Consider the following 17,570-nt stretch of genomic DNA (forward strand, 5'->3'; position numbering starts at 1 on the left):
AAATACAAAAAAAAAAATTAGTCAGGTGTGGTGGCCGGCGCCTGTAATCCTAGCTACTTGGGAGGCTGAGGCAGGAGAATGGCATGAACCCGAGAGGCGGAGCTTGCAGTGAGCCAAGATCGCGCCACTGCACTCCAGCCTGAGTGAGAGCGAGACTCTGTCTCAAAAAAAATAAATAAATAAAAATAAAAATAACAAAATAAAAATAGAGACAGGGTTTTGCTCTGTCACTCAGGCTGGAGTGCAGTGGTGCAATCATAGCTCATTGCAGCCTCGAACTCCTGGGCCTCACCCTCCCAAGTAGTTAGGACTATAGGCATGCACCACCATGCCAGTCTAATTTTTAAATTTTTTATAGAGATGGCATCTTGGTTTGTTGCGCAGGCTGCTCTCAAACTCCTGGGCTCAAGCAATCCTCCTGCCGCAGCTTCCCAAAGTGCTGGGATTACAGATGTGAGTCACCACACCCAGCAGACAATTTTTTTCCCCCATATGCACTCAAATAATAACATTAAAGACACTGTCAAATGTGAAGGATGGTGCAAAGCTTTTGAGATGGCCCCAAAGCATCACATAACACAATACACAGATTTTATATTTTGAAAGGAAAGTCTCAACATATGGAAAGTTATTCCAAATTTCACTTCTCTTGTGTATTTTCTAAGCTCTCCAATTTAGGCTGCATTTTAACAGGCAAGTAGATATCACCTTAGCAAAAGAATACGTTTTTCCAGAATTGATAAGCAGCCCAGACTCATGATGAAGACAGCGAATGGATCCATTTGCCTATAGGGACAGTACTCTTTATTAGAGAGGTACTAAATAACTTTGCTATTATTATAATTGTCAGCAACAGAGGTTACCTAATATTTCAGAACAGCTTCTAACAGTCTTATTAGAAAAACGTTAGCTTTAATATCATAGATAATAGACACTAGAAAATGGTCATTTTCCAGGGCAACAGTGGTTTTAAGTATCATAATTAGAATTGAGAGATTCTGGAGAGAATTGTACCTTTTTCATTTCCACTCTTCTGTCTTGCCATTTCCTGTCTCAGGGCACAGATAGAAGCTTCTCGTACCAAAGCAGAGAGATCTGCGCCCCTACAATAAAATAATAGTTATCTACTTATTCTTAGATACTGCAAAATCCCAGAAAAAAACCCGGAAAACAGTTTTCATATAAGTCATATATTAAATAATCAGGAGAAAAAGTGACCAATAAAGATGAGAAATAAATTGATTATCAATCAATAGAAAAGAGCTCTTAGCTTTTATATAAGATATTTCTAGGCCAGGTGCAGTGGCTCACGCCTATAATCCCAGCACTTTGGGAGGCCGAGGTGGGTGGATCACTTGAACAGGAGTTTGAGACTAGTCTCAGCAATATGGAGAAATGCCATATCTACAAAACTACAAAAAAATTAGCTGGGCATGGTGGCATGCACCTGTAGTCCCAGGCACTGGGGAGGCTTAGGTGGGAGGATCACTTGAGCCCGGGAGGTGGCGGTTGCAATGAGCCAAGATCGCACCACTGCACTCCAGCCTGGGTAACAGAGTGAGACTCTGTCCCAATTAAAAAACAAAAACAAAAAAAAACTAAACTCAAGAAGAAAGGAAATTATGGAGGAAACAATACAATGCATAAAGGGCTAAAGTGCTGACTAGCATATTCATGTATTACATAATGTCTAAAGTAAGCTTATTAAAAAGTCATTTATGGGCTGGGCGCAGTGGGTCATGCCTGTAATTCCAGCACTTTGGGAGGCTGAGATGGCAGAATTGCTTGAGCCTGGGGGGCAAAGGCTATAGTGAGCCTGGGTGACAGAGTGAGACCCTGTCTCAAGAAAACCCCCCAAAAAGTCACTTGTGGCTCCAAGTTCAGAAGGGAAAAATACAAACCCTGGAAAGTCTTTAATGCACCTGATTCAAGTTAAAACTGAATGAACACATCATAAGTTACTTAAAATATGACAAATACAAAACAGGCCTTCACTTATTTAATTAGTTCATGTAATAATATGCTGAGTCAGCACAGTTCTGAGTTCAATGAAAGACACTCATGTTGACTGGAGTTTCACTACATTACAGCTGTAACAGGGTTCTTAGAGATTATATGAGAAAGAGTTTGAGTTTGGGGATAAAAACATCACTTCTATGATTCACAAGTCTTGGAAAGAAAAGATGAAAATGAAAAATAAATTTTTTTAAAAAACCTCATCTCTGGACATTAAACTTATTATATAATGTTGATAATCCCCATACTATATAACTTTTTTTTTTTTGAGATGGAGTCTTGCTCTGTCACCGAGGCTGGAGTGCAGTGGTGTGATCTTGGCTCACCGCAACCTCTGCGTCCTGGGTATGAGTGATTCTCCTGCCTCAGACACATACTATATAAAAGTAAAGACCCACAGAGCTTAAATTTTTAACTGAATCTGGTGTTTTGTTGGCTAAATGTTAGGGTTATAACATTATTTAATAATCACATACCTGCTGGGGTATTCATTCCTTCCCATACTATGAAATCTAACATTGGTGGAAACACCATTAACTAACACAAGCAGATAGCTATAGACTGTAGTGGTGTAGTGTCTCTCAAACTGTAATTATAGTGGCATGAAAATCCAAAATGTACACCATTCAACTTTAGCCCTAACCCCTTCACAGACTGATAGCCTACTTGGTATATCCAAAAGATTTAGCCCAGGGCAAGTTCCGCCACCAAAATCACCTGTTACTCACCGAAAATCTTTTCAGATTTGAGCACTTAAAGCTGTATTATTATTATTTTTTTTGTAGAGATGGGGTCTTACTATGTTGCCCAAGCTGGTCTTGAACTCCTGGCCTCAAACAATCTGCCTGCCTTGGCCTCCCAAAGGGCTAGGATTACAGGTGTGAGCCACTGCTCCCACCCTTAAAGCAGTAAACTACTCAAGTAGTAGTCTCCTAAGCATAAGGCCATTTCTTTATTTTTAATTTTATTTATTTTTATTTTTTGAGATGGAGTGTCGCTCTGTTGCCCAGCCTGGAGTGCAGTGACACGATCTCAGCTCACTGCAACCTCCACCCGCTGGGTTCAAGCAATTTTCCTGTCTCAGCCTCCCTAGTAGCTGCGATTACAGGTGTGCACTACCATGCCCGGCTAATTTTTGTAGTTTTAGTAGAGACAAGGTTTCACCATGTTGGCCAGGTTGGTCTCAAATTTCTGACCTCAAGTGATCTGCCCACCTCAGCCTCCAAAGTGCTGGGATTACAGGCGTGAGCCACTGTGCCTGGCCACATCATTTAAATAAAGACTCGTATGGATTTGATTCCTAATTAGGGGGTGAGGCACATCCTATTTAAGGGGAGGTAGAGGCATTTACATCTGCCCCTCACCACCCCTGCCTGAGACTCTGATCAGTTTCTCTTCACTGAGAATCACTGCTACATTGGAAGGACATAATAGAGAAAAAAAAAGGGCCGGGTGTGGTGGCTCACTGTAATCCCAGCACTTTGGGATGCTGAGGCATGAGGGACTACTTAAGCTCAGGAGTTCATGACAAGACTGGGCAATATGGCGAGACCCTAAAACTACAAAAATTTTTTAAAAAAATTAGCTGGGGATGGTAGCATGCACCTGTAGTCCCAGCTATCCAGGAGGCTGAGGTCAGAGGATTGCTTGAGCCCAGGAAGTCAAGGCTACAGTGAGCCATGATCATGCCACTGTACTCCAGCCTGGGTGAAAGAGGGAAACCCTGTATGGAAAAAAAAAAAAGAAAAAAAAGAAAACAAAAAGCCGGAGGGGGCATTGTCTCTGTTAGTTAAACTTGAGTTTCATTTCCTCCCTCTGTGTCCCCAAATTGGGAAAGTTAACAAACAAATTTACTTCAAAACATATGAAGAAAAACTAATAACTGTAACAACACAAACATAGGAAGGATGAAGGCAGAAATGTCAGATTTCCTGATGTTACTACAGGCTATGTGGAGGTGAAAATGCATCCTGAGGGCTGCAAAATGTGGCACTTGTAGATTAGTCTCTTTTAAATGCTGACGCACCAGTACAATTTGTAAAGGACAGCAGTGCTGGTTAGGGTAGGTTAAGTACCAAGAGTCAACATATGAAAGGACTCCCCTGTTCCCAGGAATTCCTTCAGGGCCTCCAAATGTGCAGTCTCTTCTCTAAGAAGGGAGATGCCAGACACTTTATGTGCTTCATGGGATACCTCATTTAATCCTCCCAACAATCTGCTGAGGTGAGCATCATCACCCCTCATTTTATAGATGAGGAAATTGAACCCCAGAGAGTGAATTGACTTAAGATTTAAACACTTACGTATAGCAATCACAGCGAAGGTCACCAGCAATTGCTTCCAAATTTACATCTGCATCCAGTGGTGGTTTGGTACCATTCTAAGTAAGAGAGAAAAATGATTTTTCATTGGAGCTTTAAAGACCATGCCGGGTGCGATGGCTCATGCTTGTAATCCCAGCACTTTGGGAGGCCAAGGTGGGCAGATCACCTGAGGTCAGGAGTTCGAGACCAACCTGTGGAACATGGTAAAACCCCATCTCTACTACAAATACAAAAATTAGCTGGGCGTTATGGTATGCACCTGTAGTCCCAGCTACTCGGGAGGCTGAGGCACGAGAATTGCTCAAGCCCTGGAGGTGGAGGTTGTAGTGAGCAGAGATCATGCCACTGCACTCCAGCCTGGGCGACAGAGTGAGACTGAGTCTCAAAGATAAAGACCATATTCATCTACATAATAGGTTCTTAATAATGGCTGTTTGACTAAATGAGTATAACTGACTTCCAGACTGGTGCTGTTAAGGTTTATACAAATTTCAATGTTGAGAAATGAGGCTAAGAAGCAGATTCCAAACTTGAGAAAGCTAAAGGCAAACAATTTATGCTCATGAAGTTTGAGGAATTTGTGTACAGCTGCAGCAAATACTAAACACCATCAACAAGAATGAAAACTAGCACCTCGATCTTTCCAAAGGTGAAGAAACACATTTCCTTTCCAGCTTAAACATGGCAAATACTTAAGCAATGCTTAGTGTTGGTGTGAGGCTGGCTAGGACGGAAGAAATAATACTGAACCTGGCCAGGAGAGAAGGAGCAGTATCTGCTCTAAAATAAAAGCACAAAGCACTCTAAGCTCAGTATATTCTTTCTTAATCATTTAGCTAACACTCAATCTTGATTTTGGTGCCAATTCCCCTTCAGCTCATTTCAAGACACATTAGCAATGACAAGTATGTAACTTAGAACTCTTAGAATTTCTCATGAGACTGGATGTAGAGGAAAAAAAACCAACCCAGAATTTTAACACTTAACCCAGTAACTTGCATGCATACATTATGTTTAATAATATTTTTAGTGACAAACTGCAGAGGCAAACAAAACAAGCTTTTTCTTCCCTCCAGGGTATTGCTCTGTCGCCCAGGCAGGAGTGAGTGGAACAACCACAACAGACTTGACCTCCTCGGCACAAGAGATCCTTCTACCTCAGCCTCCCGAGGAGCTGGAACTACATGCCACCATGCCTGGCTACTTTTTTTTTTTTTTGAGACAGTCTCGCTCTGGAGTGCAGTGGTGCGATCTTGGCTCACTGCAACCTCTGTCTCCTAGGAGCGATGGGGTGGCGTGTGCCTGTAATCCCAGCTACTCGGGACACTGAGGCAGGAGAATCACTGGAACCCGGGAGGTGGAGGCTGTAGTAAGCCATGATCGCACCATTGCACTCCAGCCTGGGTGACAGTTGGAGAGTTGGAGACTTGGTTTCAAAAAAAAAAAAAAAAAAAAAAAAGAAGAAACACACACAAAAGTGAATAAACACAAGCCATTAAGCTTTTCTCTTTTCTTTTTTTTTCTTTGAGACAGGGTCTGGCTCTGTCATCCAGGCTTAGTGCAATGGCGCAATCTCAGCTTACTGCAACCTCCACCTCCCGGGCTCAAGCCATCCTCCCACCTCAGCCTCTTGGGTAGCTGGGACTATAGGCACCCACCACACACCTGGCTAATTTTTGTATTTTTTGTAGAGATGGGGTTTCACGATGTTGCCCAGGCTGATCTCAAACTCCTCAGCTCAAGCGATCTGCCCGCCTTGGCCACCCGAAGTGCTGAGATTACAGGTGAGGGCCACAGCACCTGCCCAGTAAGCTTTTCTTAGTGTAAAACGTCAGCCTGGCAAAGTGCTCCAGGCACAGGGTTCGGCGACCTGGCTGAGAGGACTGGAGCTGCCGGCCTTGTGCACTAGTTACCTGTTGCTCTGCCCACACTCACATACCAGCGTCTCACTGCCTCCCAGCAGGGCATGTTCAAGAACTGCATAAATTATACATCTGTTAGTTGCTATCACTAAATAAAATGGACATGTTATCTACCACAGGTTCAAGAAACAGTTAATTTCCCATTCAATCCATTTTGACCTGGGACACAAACTATGATCTTAGGCAAACAATCTTGTGCTTTTTTCTCTAAGTAATAAAACTAAAGGGTCAGAATGTAGGATTGCTAAGCATCTTTTAGTGTAAACAATTTTCAACCGAGTCAGGATAGTGGTCAATCCTGGGGGCAGGTAGAAGTGGGTAGTGGCTGGAAGTAGAAGGGCAGCTTTTGTCGGTGTGGGAATGTTCTATTTTATTGTGGCAAAACATACAAAAAACTGACCATTTCAACCATTTTTCTGTGTACAGGTCAGTGGCATTAAGTCCATCCACATTGTTGTATCACCCCTATCCGGCTCCAGAACTCTTTTATCTTCCCAAAGAAAACAATGCATCCATTAAACACTAACTCCCCATTCTTCCTGCCCCCGCCTCCCAACCTCTGGCAGTCACCATTGTACTTCATAGTTCTATGAATTAGACTTGGAGTGTTCTCTTTCTTGATCTGGAGACTTTGTAACAATTCATGGAGCTGGACATTTACCACTTTTTAATTTCTTTCTTGAATCTCTAAATCTACTTTACATTTACCACTTTTCTGTAGGTGTATCATACTTCAATAAAAAGACCTAAACAGTGCAAGTAACACTGGGCGAGGAATTAGAAAACCTGAGTTCTAAAGTTCAAATTTGCAACTGAATGGCCCTTATAGAACTTTGTTAATCTTTATTATTTAATTTTTTAAAGTATCTTAATAGATAAGTATCTTATTTCCAGATGAGTATATATAATTTTGTGCTATATTTGAGAGGGGAGGGGGGCATCAGTGAACATATAATAGTGATTTCTTAAAATGAAGACTAGCGTAGACTTTCTTGCTATGGTGGTGGGGCTGCCACATTATGTAGGAGCCCTTGTTAGGTGCTTTCTATGATTTTAAGAACCTATCAACTTACCTCGACTGTCACACTGTCACATTAACTGTACGGATCTTCCCTAAGGACACTCCGCGTGCTGTTAGACAATCTAATCTCAAACTATCCAGTGCCCTGTTTTAATCAAAAGCTGAATCATAAGAAGACAATTCTTTTATACTTCTCAATATCTAAATTCTACCCTTGGGTTAAGCTGGACCTCCACAAGGTCCTGTGCATCCTCAGAGTGCATTTCTTGGACCTTCATCAAATTGTATTTAATGAACTGGCTTTGTGTAATACCCTCAGTTTATATTAAGAAAATGACAAGCCTCAGTCCCAAGAGGCTTATTGTGTTTGTGTCAGAAATACCGTTAAAGACATTGTGCATCGCATCTTAGTGTTCTCTTTGTGAGGACCCAGAGGAGGAATTTTTCTTTTTTCTGTCTCGCTGTGTCACCAGGCTGGAGTGCAGTGACGCAATCTCGGCTCACTGCAACTTACGCCTCCCAGGTTCAAGCGATTCTCCTGCCTCAGCCCCGAGTAGCTGGGATTACAGGCATGCGCTACCACGCTGGGTAATTTTTTTTTTTTTTTTTTTTTTGAGACGGAGTCTCACTGTCACAGGCCCAGGCTGGAGTGCAGTGGTGCGATCTCAGCTCACTGCAACCTCCGCCCCTCAGGTTCAAGCGATTCTCCTGCCTCAGCCCCCCAAGTAGCTGGGATTACAGTTGCCCGCCACCACGCCTGGCTAATTTTTTGTATTTTTAGTAGAGATGGGGTTTCACCATGTTGTCCAGGCTGGTCTTGAACTTCTGACCTCAGGTGATCCACCCACCTTGGCCTCCCAAAGTGCTAGGATTACAGGCGTGAGCCACCGTGCCCAGCCAACGCTGGGTAGTTTTTGTATTTTAGTAGAGACGGGGTTTCACCATGTTGGTCAGGCTGGTCTCAAACTCCTGACCTTGTGATCTGCCCGCCTCCGCCTCCCAAAGTGCTGGGATTACAGGCGTGAGCCACAGCGCCCAGCAGAGGAGGAATTTTCCTCACATTTGCATAATGGGAGCAATTGTCAGCTTCCTATTCTTAGCATATCCTTTGTTTAAGAAAAATCTTTTGTGAAAGAAAGCTCAGTATATAAAGGAACACAATAAATAAATGAGGTGGGGTATGAACTTCACAAAACGAATTCACTGTTATATGTTTAGATACTCTCAGAAGTTTCCTAATTCTTAGAAGATTAAACCTTTAGAAAAAGAAATAATTTCAAGTACCCTCACTTGAAAGAAAGTAACAAACTGTCCTTTTTTTTTTTTTTTTTTTTTTTTTGAGACAGAGTCTCGCCCTGTGGCCCAGGCTGGAGTGTGATGGCATGATCTCGGCTCACTGCAAGCTCCGCCTCCCGGGTTCAAGAGATTCTCCTGCCTCAGCTTCCCAAGTAGCTGGGATTACAGATGTACACCACCATACCCGGCTAATTTTTTGTATGTTTAGTAGAGATGGGTTTCACCATGTTGGCCAGGCTGGTCTCAAACTCCTGACCTGGTGATCCACCCACCTTGGCCTCCCAAAGTGCTGGGATTACAGGCACAAGCTACCACGCTCAGCCAAACTCTCCTTTTTTTGAGGGCATGAGGTGTGCTCTACCTAGGATACCTCCAAAAGTTTCATTAGCAACATTACTTTCTAATTAGTAGAAATAAGGGCTAAGGAATCTTTGGATCACTGAAATCTAACTATTCTTTAATTGAAATGTGGTTATGTTTCTGACTTATAGTAAGAACTAAAATGAATTCTATTTATTCTCAAGTGAGAGCAAAGAGAAAAATTTTAAATGGCATAATAAAGAGCTTATAAAACAAAATATGAGGATTTTGGAAAATCATTTATTGAAATGGTACTAGGATATTTAGAAGTATTTAGAAGCTTAAATTAATTTGGTTTTTCTTTATGACATTATCTCTATTACGATAATATTATATTATTTTTTAATAAAGGCCCTAATGGAAATCTCAAATAGGTTGGTAACTATAGAAAGCTAAGCTAAAGGAATTATTAGAAAAAGAAGGAAAATAGTCTCTTAAGGAAATTATAGGCCAGGCGTGGTGGCTCATGCCTGTAATCTCAGCACTTTGGGAGGCCGAGGCGGGTGGATCACCTGAGGTCAGGAGTTTGAGACTAGCCTGGCCAATATGGTGAAACACCATCTCTACTAAAAATACAAAACTTAGCCAGGTGTGGTGGCAGTTGCCTGTAATCCCAGCTACTTGGGACACTGAGGCAGGAGAATCGCTTGAACCCGGGAAGAGGAGGTTGCAGTGAGCTGAGATCAAACCACTGCACTCCAGCCTAGGGAACAAGAGTGAGACCTCGTCTCAAAAAAAAAAAAATAAAAAGAAAAAGAAAAACAGGTGTGGTGGCAGGCACCTGTAATCCCAGCTACTTAGGAGGCTCAGGCAGGAGAATCACTTGAACCTGGGAGGCAGAGGTTGCAGTGAGCCAAGACCACGCCATTGCACTCTAGCCTGGACATCAAGACCAAAACTCCGTCTCAAAAAAAAAAAAAGTTATATCCCACAAATATTGTATGATTCTACTTGTATGAGGTACCTAGAATAGGCAAAGCATAGAGACAGAAAGTAGAATGGTGGTTGCCAGGGGTAGGGAAGAAGGAATGGGCAGTTTGTGTTTAATGGGGACAGAGTTTCAGTTTGGGAAGATGCAAAAGTTCTGGAGATGAGTAGTGGTGATGGTTGCACAACAATGTGAATGTACTTAATGCCACAGAAATATATACTTAAAAATGGCTAAAATGGTAAATTTTATGTTATGTATCTATAGTATTTTACTAAAATCTGAAAAAAGTTATGGCTCATTTACACTGATATTTTCCTATAATTCGTATTAAACATTATATGTTATGAAATACTCAGGTTCAAAAAGTAATTCAAGATGTGCTACTACTTTTATTTTAACAAATATTTTCATTTGGTCATACAAATCTATTCTTTTTTTTTTTTTTTTTTGAGACGGAGTCTCACTCTATGCCCAGGCTGTGCAGTGGCGTGATCTCACTTCACTAGGTTCAAGCGATTCTCCTGCCTCAGCCTTCCGAGTAGCTGGGACTACAGGTGCACGCCACCATGCCTGGCCAATTTTGGTATTTTCAGCAGAGATGGGCTTTCACCATATTGGTCAAGCTGGTCTCAAACTCCTGACCTCAGGTGATTCACCTGCCTCGGCCTCCCAAAGTGCTGGGATTACAGGTGTGAGTCACCATGCCCAACCAAATTTATTCTTAAATCTATTCTTAACTACACATCAGAGTTTAGAATCATTAATGCTTGTTTTTTTTTTTTTTTTTGAGACAGAGTTTCGTCCTGTTGCCCAGGCTGGAGTGCAACGGCGCGATCTTGGCTCACTGCAACCTCTGCCTCTGGGTTCAAGCGATTCTCCTGCCTCAGCCTCCCGAGTAGCTGGAATTTACAGGTGTGTGCCACCGCACCCAGCTACTTTTGAATGAGATCACCTCATTCAGGTGATCTGTCCGCCTTGGCCTCCTAAAGTGCTGGGATTACAGGTGTGAGCCACCGTACCTGGCCAGTAATTTTATTTATTTATTTATTTTTTATTTTAAAATCCAGCTTCTGCATGAAGCAATTTTTATTCACACAGTCGACTGTGAAAAATTAATGAAAGGGCCGGGTGTAGTGGCTCAGTCTTGTAACCCTCTACCTTGGGAGGCTGAGGTGGGTACATCGCTTGAGCTCAGGAGTTCAAAACCAGCCTGGGCAACATGGTGAAACCCTGTTTCTACAAAAAAAAAAAAAAATTAGCTAGGCCTGGTGGCACGTTCCTGTAGTCCCAGCTACTCAGGGAGCAGAGGCGGGAGGATCACTTGAGCCTGGGAGGTTGAGGCTGCAGCGAGCCAAGACCGCACCACTGCCCTCCAGCCTGGGTGACAGAGCAAGACCTTGTCTCAACAACAACAACAACAAAAAAGTTTGTAAAAAGTTTGCTCATCAGTAAAAGGAAAATATTTAAATATTTTGTAAGACATACACTTCAAAGGGAGTTTCAAGGTTTAAGCATGTGTATAAATGTAAAATGAAAATACTACATGGAACAGAGTAAGGGCTTAATAAATGTTAGCTATTATTATATCAGGTATTCTTAAGTCATACTTTTTTTTTTTTTTTTGAGATGAGGTCTCGATCTGTCACTCAGGCTGGAATGCAGTGGTACAATCTCGGCTCACTGCAACCTCCACCTCCCGGGTTCAAGAGATTCTCCTGCCTTAGTCTCCCAAGTAGCTGGGATTACAGGCACCGGCCACCACACCCAGCTAATTTTTGTATTTTTAGTAGAGACGGGATTTTGCCATTTTGGCCAAGTAGGTCTCGAACTCCTGACCTTGTGATTCGCCTGTCTCAGTCTCCCAAAGTGCTGGATTACAGGCGTGAGCCACCACACCCGGCCTTGTCACTCTTTTAAAGACTGTATTTTATCTGAAAGTATTTGGCAGATATCAAATAATGTTTCTGGTTTTCTGAGATATTTTAATGACACTTAAAAGGAAGTAGAAGTTATGAAAAAAAAATCTGGGGGCCGGGCGTGGTGGCTCATGCCTATAATCCCAGCACTTTGGGAGGCCAAGGAGGGCGGATCACATGAGGTCGGGAGTTCGAGACCAGCCTGGCCAACATGGAAAAACCCTGTCTCTACTAAAAATACAAAATTAGCTGGGCATGGTGGCAGACACCTGTAATCTCAGCTATTTGGGAGGCTGAGGCAGGAGAATCACTTGAACCCAGGAGGCAGAGGTTGCAGTGAGCTGAGATCGCACCATTGTACTCCAGCCTGGGCGACAAGAGCAAAACTCCGTCTCAAAAAAAAAAATTTCTACTTCTCAGGCAGCTTTTAGTGATAGACCTCTTATCACCACATCATCACTAGAAATACCAAATAAAAAATATAAAAAAGTAGTATATGGCTCGCTCTTTTTTATTTGAGGTGGAGTCTCCCTCTGTTGCCCAGGCTGGAGTGCAGTGGCGTGATCTCGGCTCACTGCAACCTCCACCTCTCTGCTTCAAGTGATTCTTTTGCCTCAGCCTCCTGACTAGCTAGGACTACAGGCGCATGCCACCACGCCCGGCTAATTTTTGTATTTTTAGTAGAGATGGGGTTTCGCCATGTTGGTCAGGCTGGTCTCCATTTTTTTTTTTTGAGATGGAGTCTCACTCTGTTGCCCAGGCTGGAGTGCAGTGGCGTAATCTCGGCTCACTGCAATCCCTGCCTCTTGGGTTCAAGTGATTCTTTTGCCTCAGCCTCCTGAGTAGCCGGGACTACAGGCACGCACCACCACGCCCAGCTAATTTTTATATTTTTAGTAGAGATGGGGTTTCACCATATTGGCCAGGCTGGTCTCGAACTCCTGACCTCGTGATCCGCCCGCCTTGGCCTCCCAAAGTGCTGGGATTACAGGTGTGAGCCACTGTACCTGGCCCACTCGCTCTTCTTTTACAAAACTTAGATCCCAAAAGATATGAAGAAGTTGCTTTGACCTACAAAATATTTCAGACTTTTAAGAACAGGACTAAAGATCTTTATTCTAATCTCCTTATAATATTTCAGATGTTAATAGGAGAAAGAGAAAATTGTATATAAAACAATCTGAGGAATTAAAGTCAAAAGCCAGCAAACTGAAATAAAAAGGGTAAACATTAAAAATGCCAATTTTCCTCACTTTCTGTTGACTTACAAAGAACATACATGGGCAGGAAGTCTGCCTTGTGACTTCTCCCCTCTGAAATTAGATATTGTGCTTCCTCTTCCTCTCAATCTGCCCTGCTTTAGCCATCAACAAAGCTTTTTAAACAAAAACATTCATGACCTCTGAAGGATGAGGTAAGATAAGGATGTGAAATTGCACTGCTAACAGCTCTCTTGAGAGGGCACCAGGCCAACGCAGGCAGACAGGGCACAGGGAGGCTGCATGTGGGTCCTGCTCCTCCTGGGCAGCTCTGCCCAATGAGGTTCCAAGTCTTAGAATAGGACACAGTCAGAATTGGAGCAAAAATGCACTCTCAAGTCAAAGAGAATAAACTAACAAAAGCCCTTCTGCCGTTGGCACAGACAGAGGCTGAGGACTGACTATGCAGCAGTCTAAACCACAATCTACAAAAGTTGCTTTTGGCCCAGCATGGTGGCTCACACCTGTAATCCCAGCACTTTGAGAGGCCGAGGTGGGTGGATCACCAGGTCAGGAGTTCCAGACCAGCCTGGCCAACATGGTGAAACCTCATTTCTCTAAAAATACAAAAATTAGCCGGGCGTGGTAGCACGTGCCTGTAATCCCAGCTACTCGGGAGGTGGGATCCGTCCACCTTGGCCTCCCAAAGTGCTGGGATTACAGGTGTGAGCCACCATGCCCGGCCAAAGTTGACCTCTATTGAAATGTCTTTTTTGATTTTTTTCTTCTTCCATATTCACAACTTTGTGCTTGGAAGCTGCAGGGCTCCTCTCTGTTACCCACCCCATTTATGCCAGATGACTTTTTTTTTTTTGGAGACAGAGTTTTGCTCTTGTTGCCCAGGTTGGAGTGCAATAGCACGATCTCGGCTCACCACAACCTCTGCCTCCCGGGTTCAAGCTAATTCTCCTGCTTTAGCCTCCTGAGTAGCTGGGATTACAGGAGCACACCATCACACCCAGCTAATCTTTGTATTTTTGTAGAGACAGTGTTTTGCCATGTTGGCCAGGCTGGTCTTGAACTCCTGACCTCAAGTGATCCACCTGCCTCGGCCTCCCAAAGTGCTGGGATTATAGGCATGAACCACTGTGCCTGGCCGAAGTGGGGTACTTTAAATATTCACCCTTTGGTCTGAGGCCTAATGATTTTGGCAAATAGCACTGAAATTCTAGATGAATGAAGTATAAAGTTGTTCTGGTGTGAGTACCATACATTGAATGAAACACAGCAGGAAGAATGAGCCAATCATTCTCTGGTTCCAAATCTATAAAGCTCTGAATACCACATGCCTCATGTCTGGCATGTCTAGAAATAAATACCAATCCAACTTTTCTCTTTAGTTCATGAAATCCCAAGGACAAGTGTGAAAGCATTATCATTATGTCACCATGACTACAGGAAATTCATAGAAACAAAATTGGATTATATGTGTGTGCTTATTTGTATATACATACACATCCACATACATTGACCAAAGCAAACAAAATCTCAAGACCATAGTTCCTAATGACAGAGCCAAGAAGGCCGGGCATGGTGGCTCACGCCTGTAATCCCAGCACTTTGGGAGGCCGTGGTGGGCGGATCACTTGAAGTCAGGAGTTTGAGACCAGCCTGGCTAACATGGTAAAACCCCGTCTCTACTAAAAATACAAAAAAAAAATTAGCAGAGTGTGGTGGCACGCACCTGTGGCCCCAGCTGCGTGGGGAGGCTGAAGTAGGAGATATGCTTGAACCCAGGAGGTGGAGGTTGCAGTGAGCTGAGATCACGCTACTGCACTTCAGCCTGGGCAACAAACAGGGTCTCTTTTTTTGACATACTGTGTCAAAAAAAAAAAAAAAAAAACAGAGCCAACGAAAGGGAGAGAAGATGCTATGATGCAGTCATCATCAAGCTTGTTTGATGCAAAGAAATAAGTATATGCAACCAAAGCAGGGTTTCTTAACTTTGGCATTACTGACATTTTGAGTCGGATAATACTTTTTTTTCCTTTGAGACAGGGTCTCAGCTCTGTTGCTCAGGCTGGAGTGCAGTGACGTGACCATGGCACACTGCAGCCTCGACTTCTTGGGGTTAAGCCATCCTCCCACCTCAGCCTACCAAGTAGCTGGGACTACGGGTGCATGCCACTATGCCCAACTAATTAAAAAATTTTCTTGGCCAGGCGCAGTGGCTCACGTTTGTAATCCCAGCACTTTGGGAGACTTGAGGCAGGTGGATCACGAGGTCAGGAGTTCGAGACCAGCCTGGCCAACGTGGTGAAACCCCGTCTCTACTAAAAATACAAAAATTAGCTGGGCTTGGTGGTGCACGCCTGTAATCCCAGCTACTCAGGAGGTTGAGGCAGGAGAATCACCTGAATGCGGGAGGTGGAGGTTGCAGTGAACCGAGGTGGCACCACTGCACTCCAGCCTGGGCAACAGAGTGACACTCTGTCTCAAAAAAAAAAAATTTGTTTTCTTGTAGAGACAGGGTCTCACTCTGTTGCCCAGGCTGGTCTCCAACTCCTAGTCTCAAGTGATCCTCCTGTCTCAGCCTCCCAAAGTGCTGGGATTACAGGCCTGAGCCACCATGCCTGGCCTTGGATAATTCTTTGTTGTTGGCTGTCCTGTGCACTGTGGAATATTTAGCAGCATGATCACTCCTCTGCGTAGTGGTAAATGTCCCTAGACATTGCCAAATGTTCCCTGGGGACGTGAGGTGGGGTGGTGGGAAAATTGCCTTAGGTTGAGAACTACTAAACTAAAGCAACATGTTTTCATGGCTTTGACCACCAGCTATGTCCTGAAGACAGACAAAACTATAGCCCAGCCAGAGGACTCTCCTGAACTCCCAACCACAGACCCAACATCCTGCTCAACTTTTCCACTTGATAGTGCCCAGGCACCTGAAACTCAGAGAGCTCATCTCCCAGACCTCTAATCCTGGTAGATGCCACCAGCTGCACAAGCTGCAAATTCATCTACCTTTTCCTTTAACTCCCAACTCTACAGTTAATCCAATGTCCTACTAATTAAAACCTTTAAACAGTTCTCATGTCTATATCTTCTTTGTTATTCCCGTGATAATGCCTTAGTTCGTTATTTTTTCTTTTTCATTGATGTTTCTCAGTCATATTGCCTTAGTTCTAACATGCTTAATTTCATAACTTTTACTTTACTGGCTTCCAAGCTATTTTCCATACTGTGCATCAATAGAATCTTTCTACCCTACAAAGATGATCATTCTTCTGTTCTCATCTGCCCTGTTCTCCCTCCTCGGGGTGATTTTTAGGAACATTGCTAAAGGCAGTTTTAAGTAACGATGGCCCAGTGAGGCAGGATCACAGAATCTTCCTTTGTCAGCATCAAAAGAATACTAAAAAAAGTTAAACAATTTACCAGTAGCAACCAAAGAAAGGGGTAAACCTTCATGCTGCAAATGTTGAAAAGTGGGTGCGAAGAGAAAATTTGAAAGTGGCTGATAATTAGGCGTCCATTCCTGGGAAGGAGTATTGAAGAAAGAAGGTAAGTTAACAAAATCTTGTGATGTCTATTAATATTCCAAGCTGGAGACAAGCAGCCTGAGGAGAAGATAGCTCTAGAAAAAGTTAGACACACACAATCAAGGGATTTCAGCAGATTCAGGAAGAACTGCCAAGGTATGCCACTTTCCAGGGAGCTGGACAGAACTGGGTACAATCCCATGGGAGTGGGACAGCTCCCATGGGGGGAGGTATCTCCAACTGGATGGAGAGAGCGGGTCCAGGTACAAGTGATTTCATCCCCAGAAGGATTAACACCACCAGCTTAGCTCCCTCTCCCATCCCAAGGCTATAGAAATGTAGAAACAAAGCACTTCTACAGACCTCAAAATGTGATGTGTGAAGGGCAGAAAAACTAGTTCCAGGTAGTGAGAAGTGGGATGACAGAAGTCATTCAATTTTTTTTTTTGAGAGAGGGTCTTGGTCTGTTACCCAGGCTTGAGTGCAGTAGCACGATCTTGGCTGACTGCAACCTCCACTTCTTGGGCTCAAGGGATTCTCCAGCCTCAGCCAGGCATGAGCCATTGAAGTCCAGCTAATTTTTGTATTTTTTGTAGAGATGGGGTTTCCCCATGTTTCCCAGGCTGATCTTGAACTCCTGAGGTCAAAGCAATCCACCTGCCTTGGCTTCCCAAAGTGCTGGGATGACAGGTGTGAGCCAACGTGTTTGGCCCACTTATTTATTTATTTTTAAATATAGGGTCTTGCGGGGTCTGGTGCGGTGGCTCACGCCTGTAATCCCAGCACTTTGGGAGGCCGAGGCGGGTGGATCACGAGGTCAGGAGATCGAGACCATCCTGGCTAACACGGTAAAACCCCGTCTCTACTAAAAAACACAAAAAATTAGCCGGACGTGGTGGCGAGCACCTGTAGTCCCAGCTACTCGGGAGGCTGAGGCAGGAGAATGGCGTGAACCTGGGAGGCAGAGCTTGCAGTGAGCCAAGATCATGCCACTGCACTCCAGCCTGGGTGACAGAGCAAGACTCTGCCTCAAAAAAAAGGAT

At 43.7% G+C, this 17,570-nt stretch overlaps 1 protein-coding gene across 10 annotated transcripts in view, besides 1 other annotated feature; it reads right to left on the reverse strand.

The window, feature by feature from the left end:
- The window catches only part of NVL (nuclear VCP like), a 102,828-nt gene that overhangs the window by 4,842 nt on the left and 80,416 nt on the right, over positions 1-17,570 (reverse strand). For 9 of the 10 annotated variants that reach the window (NM_001243146.2, NM_206840.3, XM_017001383.2 and 6 more), the window contains 2 exons: positions 4,320-4,396; positions 1,015-1,103 (listed from right to left, as the gene is read on the reverse strand). In NM_001243146.2, the coding sequence (NP_001230075.1) occupies positions 1,015-1,103; positions 4,320-4,396 (166 nt within the window). Of the gene's footprint in view, positions 1-461; positions 787-1,014; positions 1,104-4,319; positions 4,397-17,570 lie in introns of those variants that run through there. The other variant, XM_017001380.3, reaches the window with a different exon arrangement.
- Positions 13,468-13,517: an enhancer, noted in NCBI's record as "active region_2604". NCBI's record gives its function as "activates an Ori minimal core promoter by ATAC-STARR-seq in GM12878 lymphoblastoid cells {active_cell/tissue: GM12878}" and the evidence as "EXISTENCE:reporter gene assay evidence [ECO:0000049][PMID:35858748]".

This window comes from Homo sapiens, chromosome 1 (assembly GCF_000001405.40).
Source record: "Homo sapiens chromosome 1, GRCh38.p14 Primary Assembly".
Classification (NCBI taxonomy): Eukaryota; Metazoa; Chordata; class Mammalia; order Primates; family Hominidae; genus Homo; species Homo sapiens.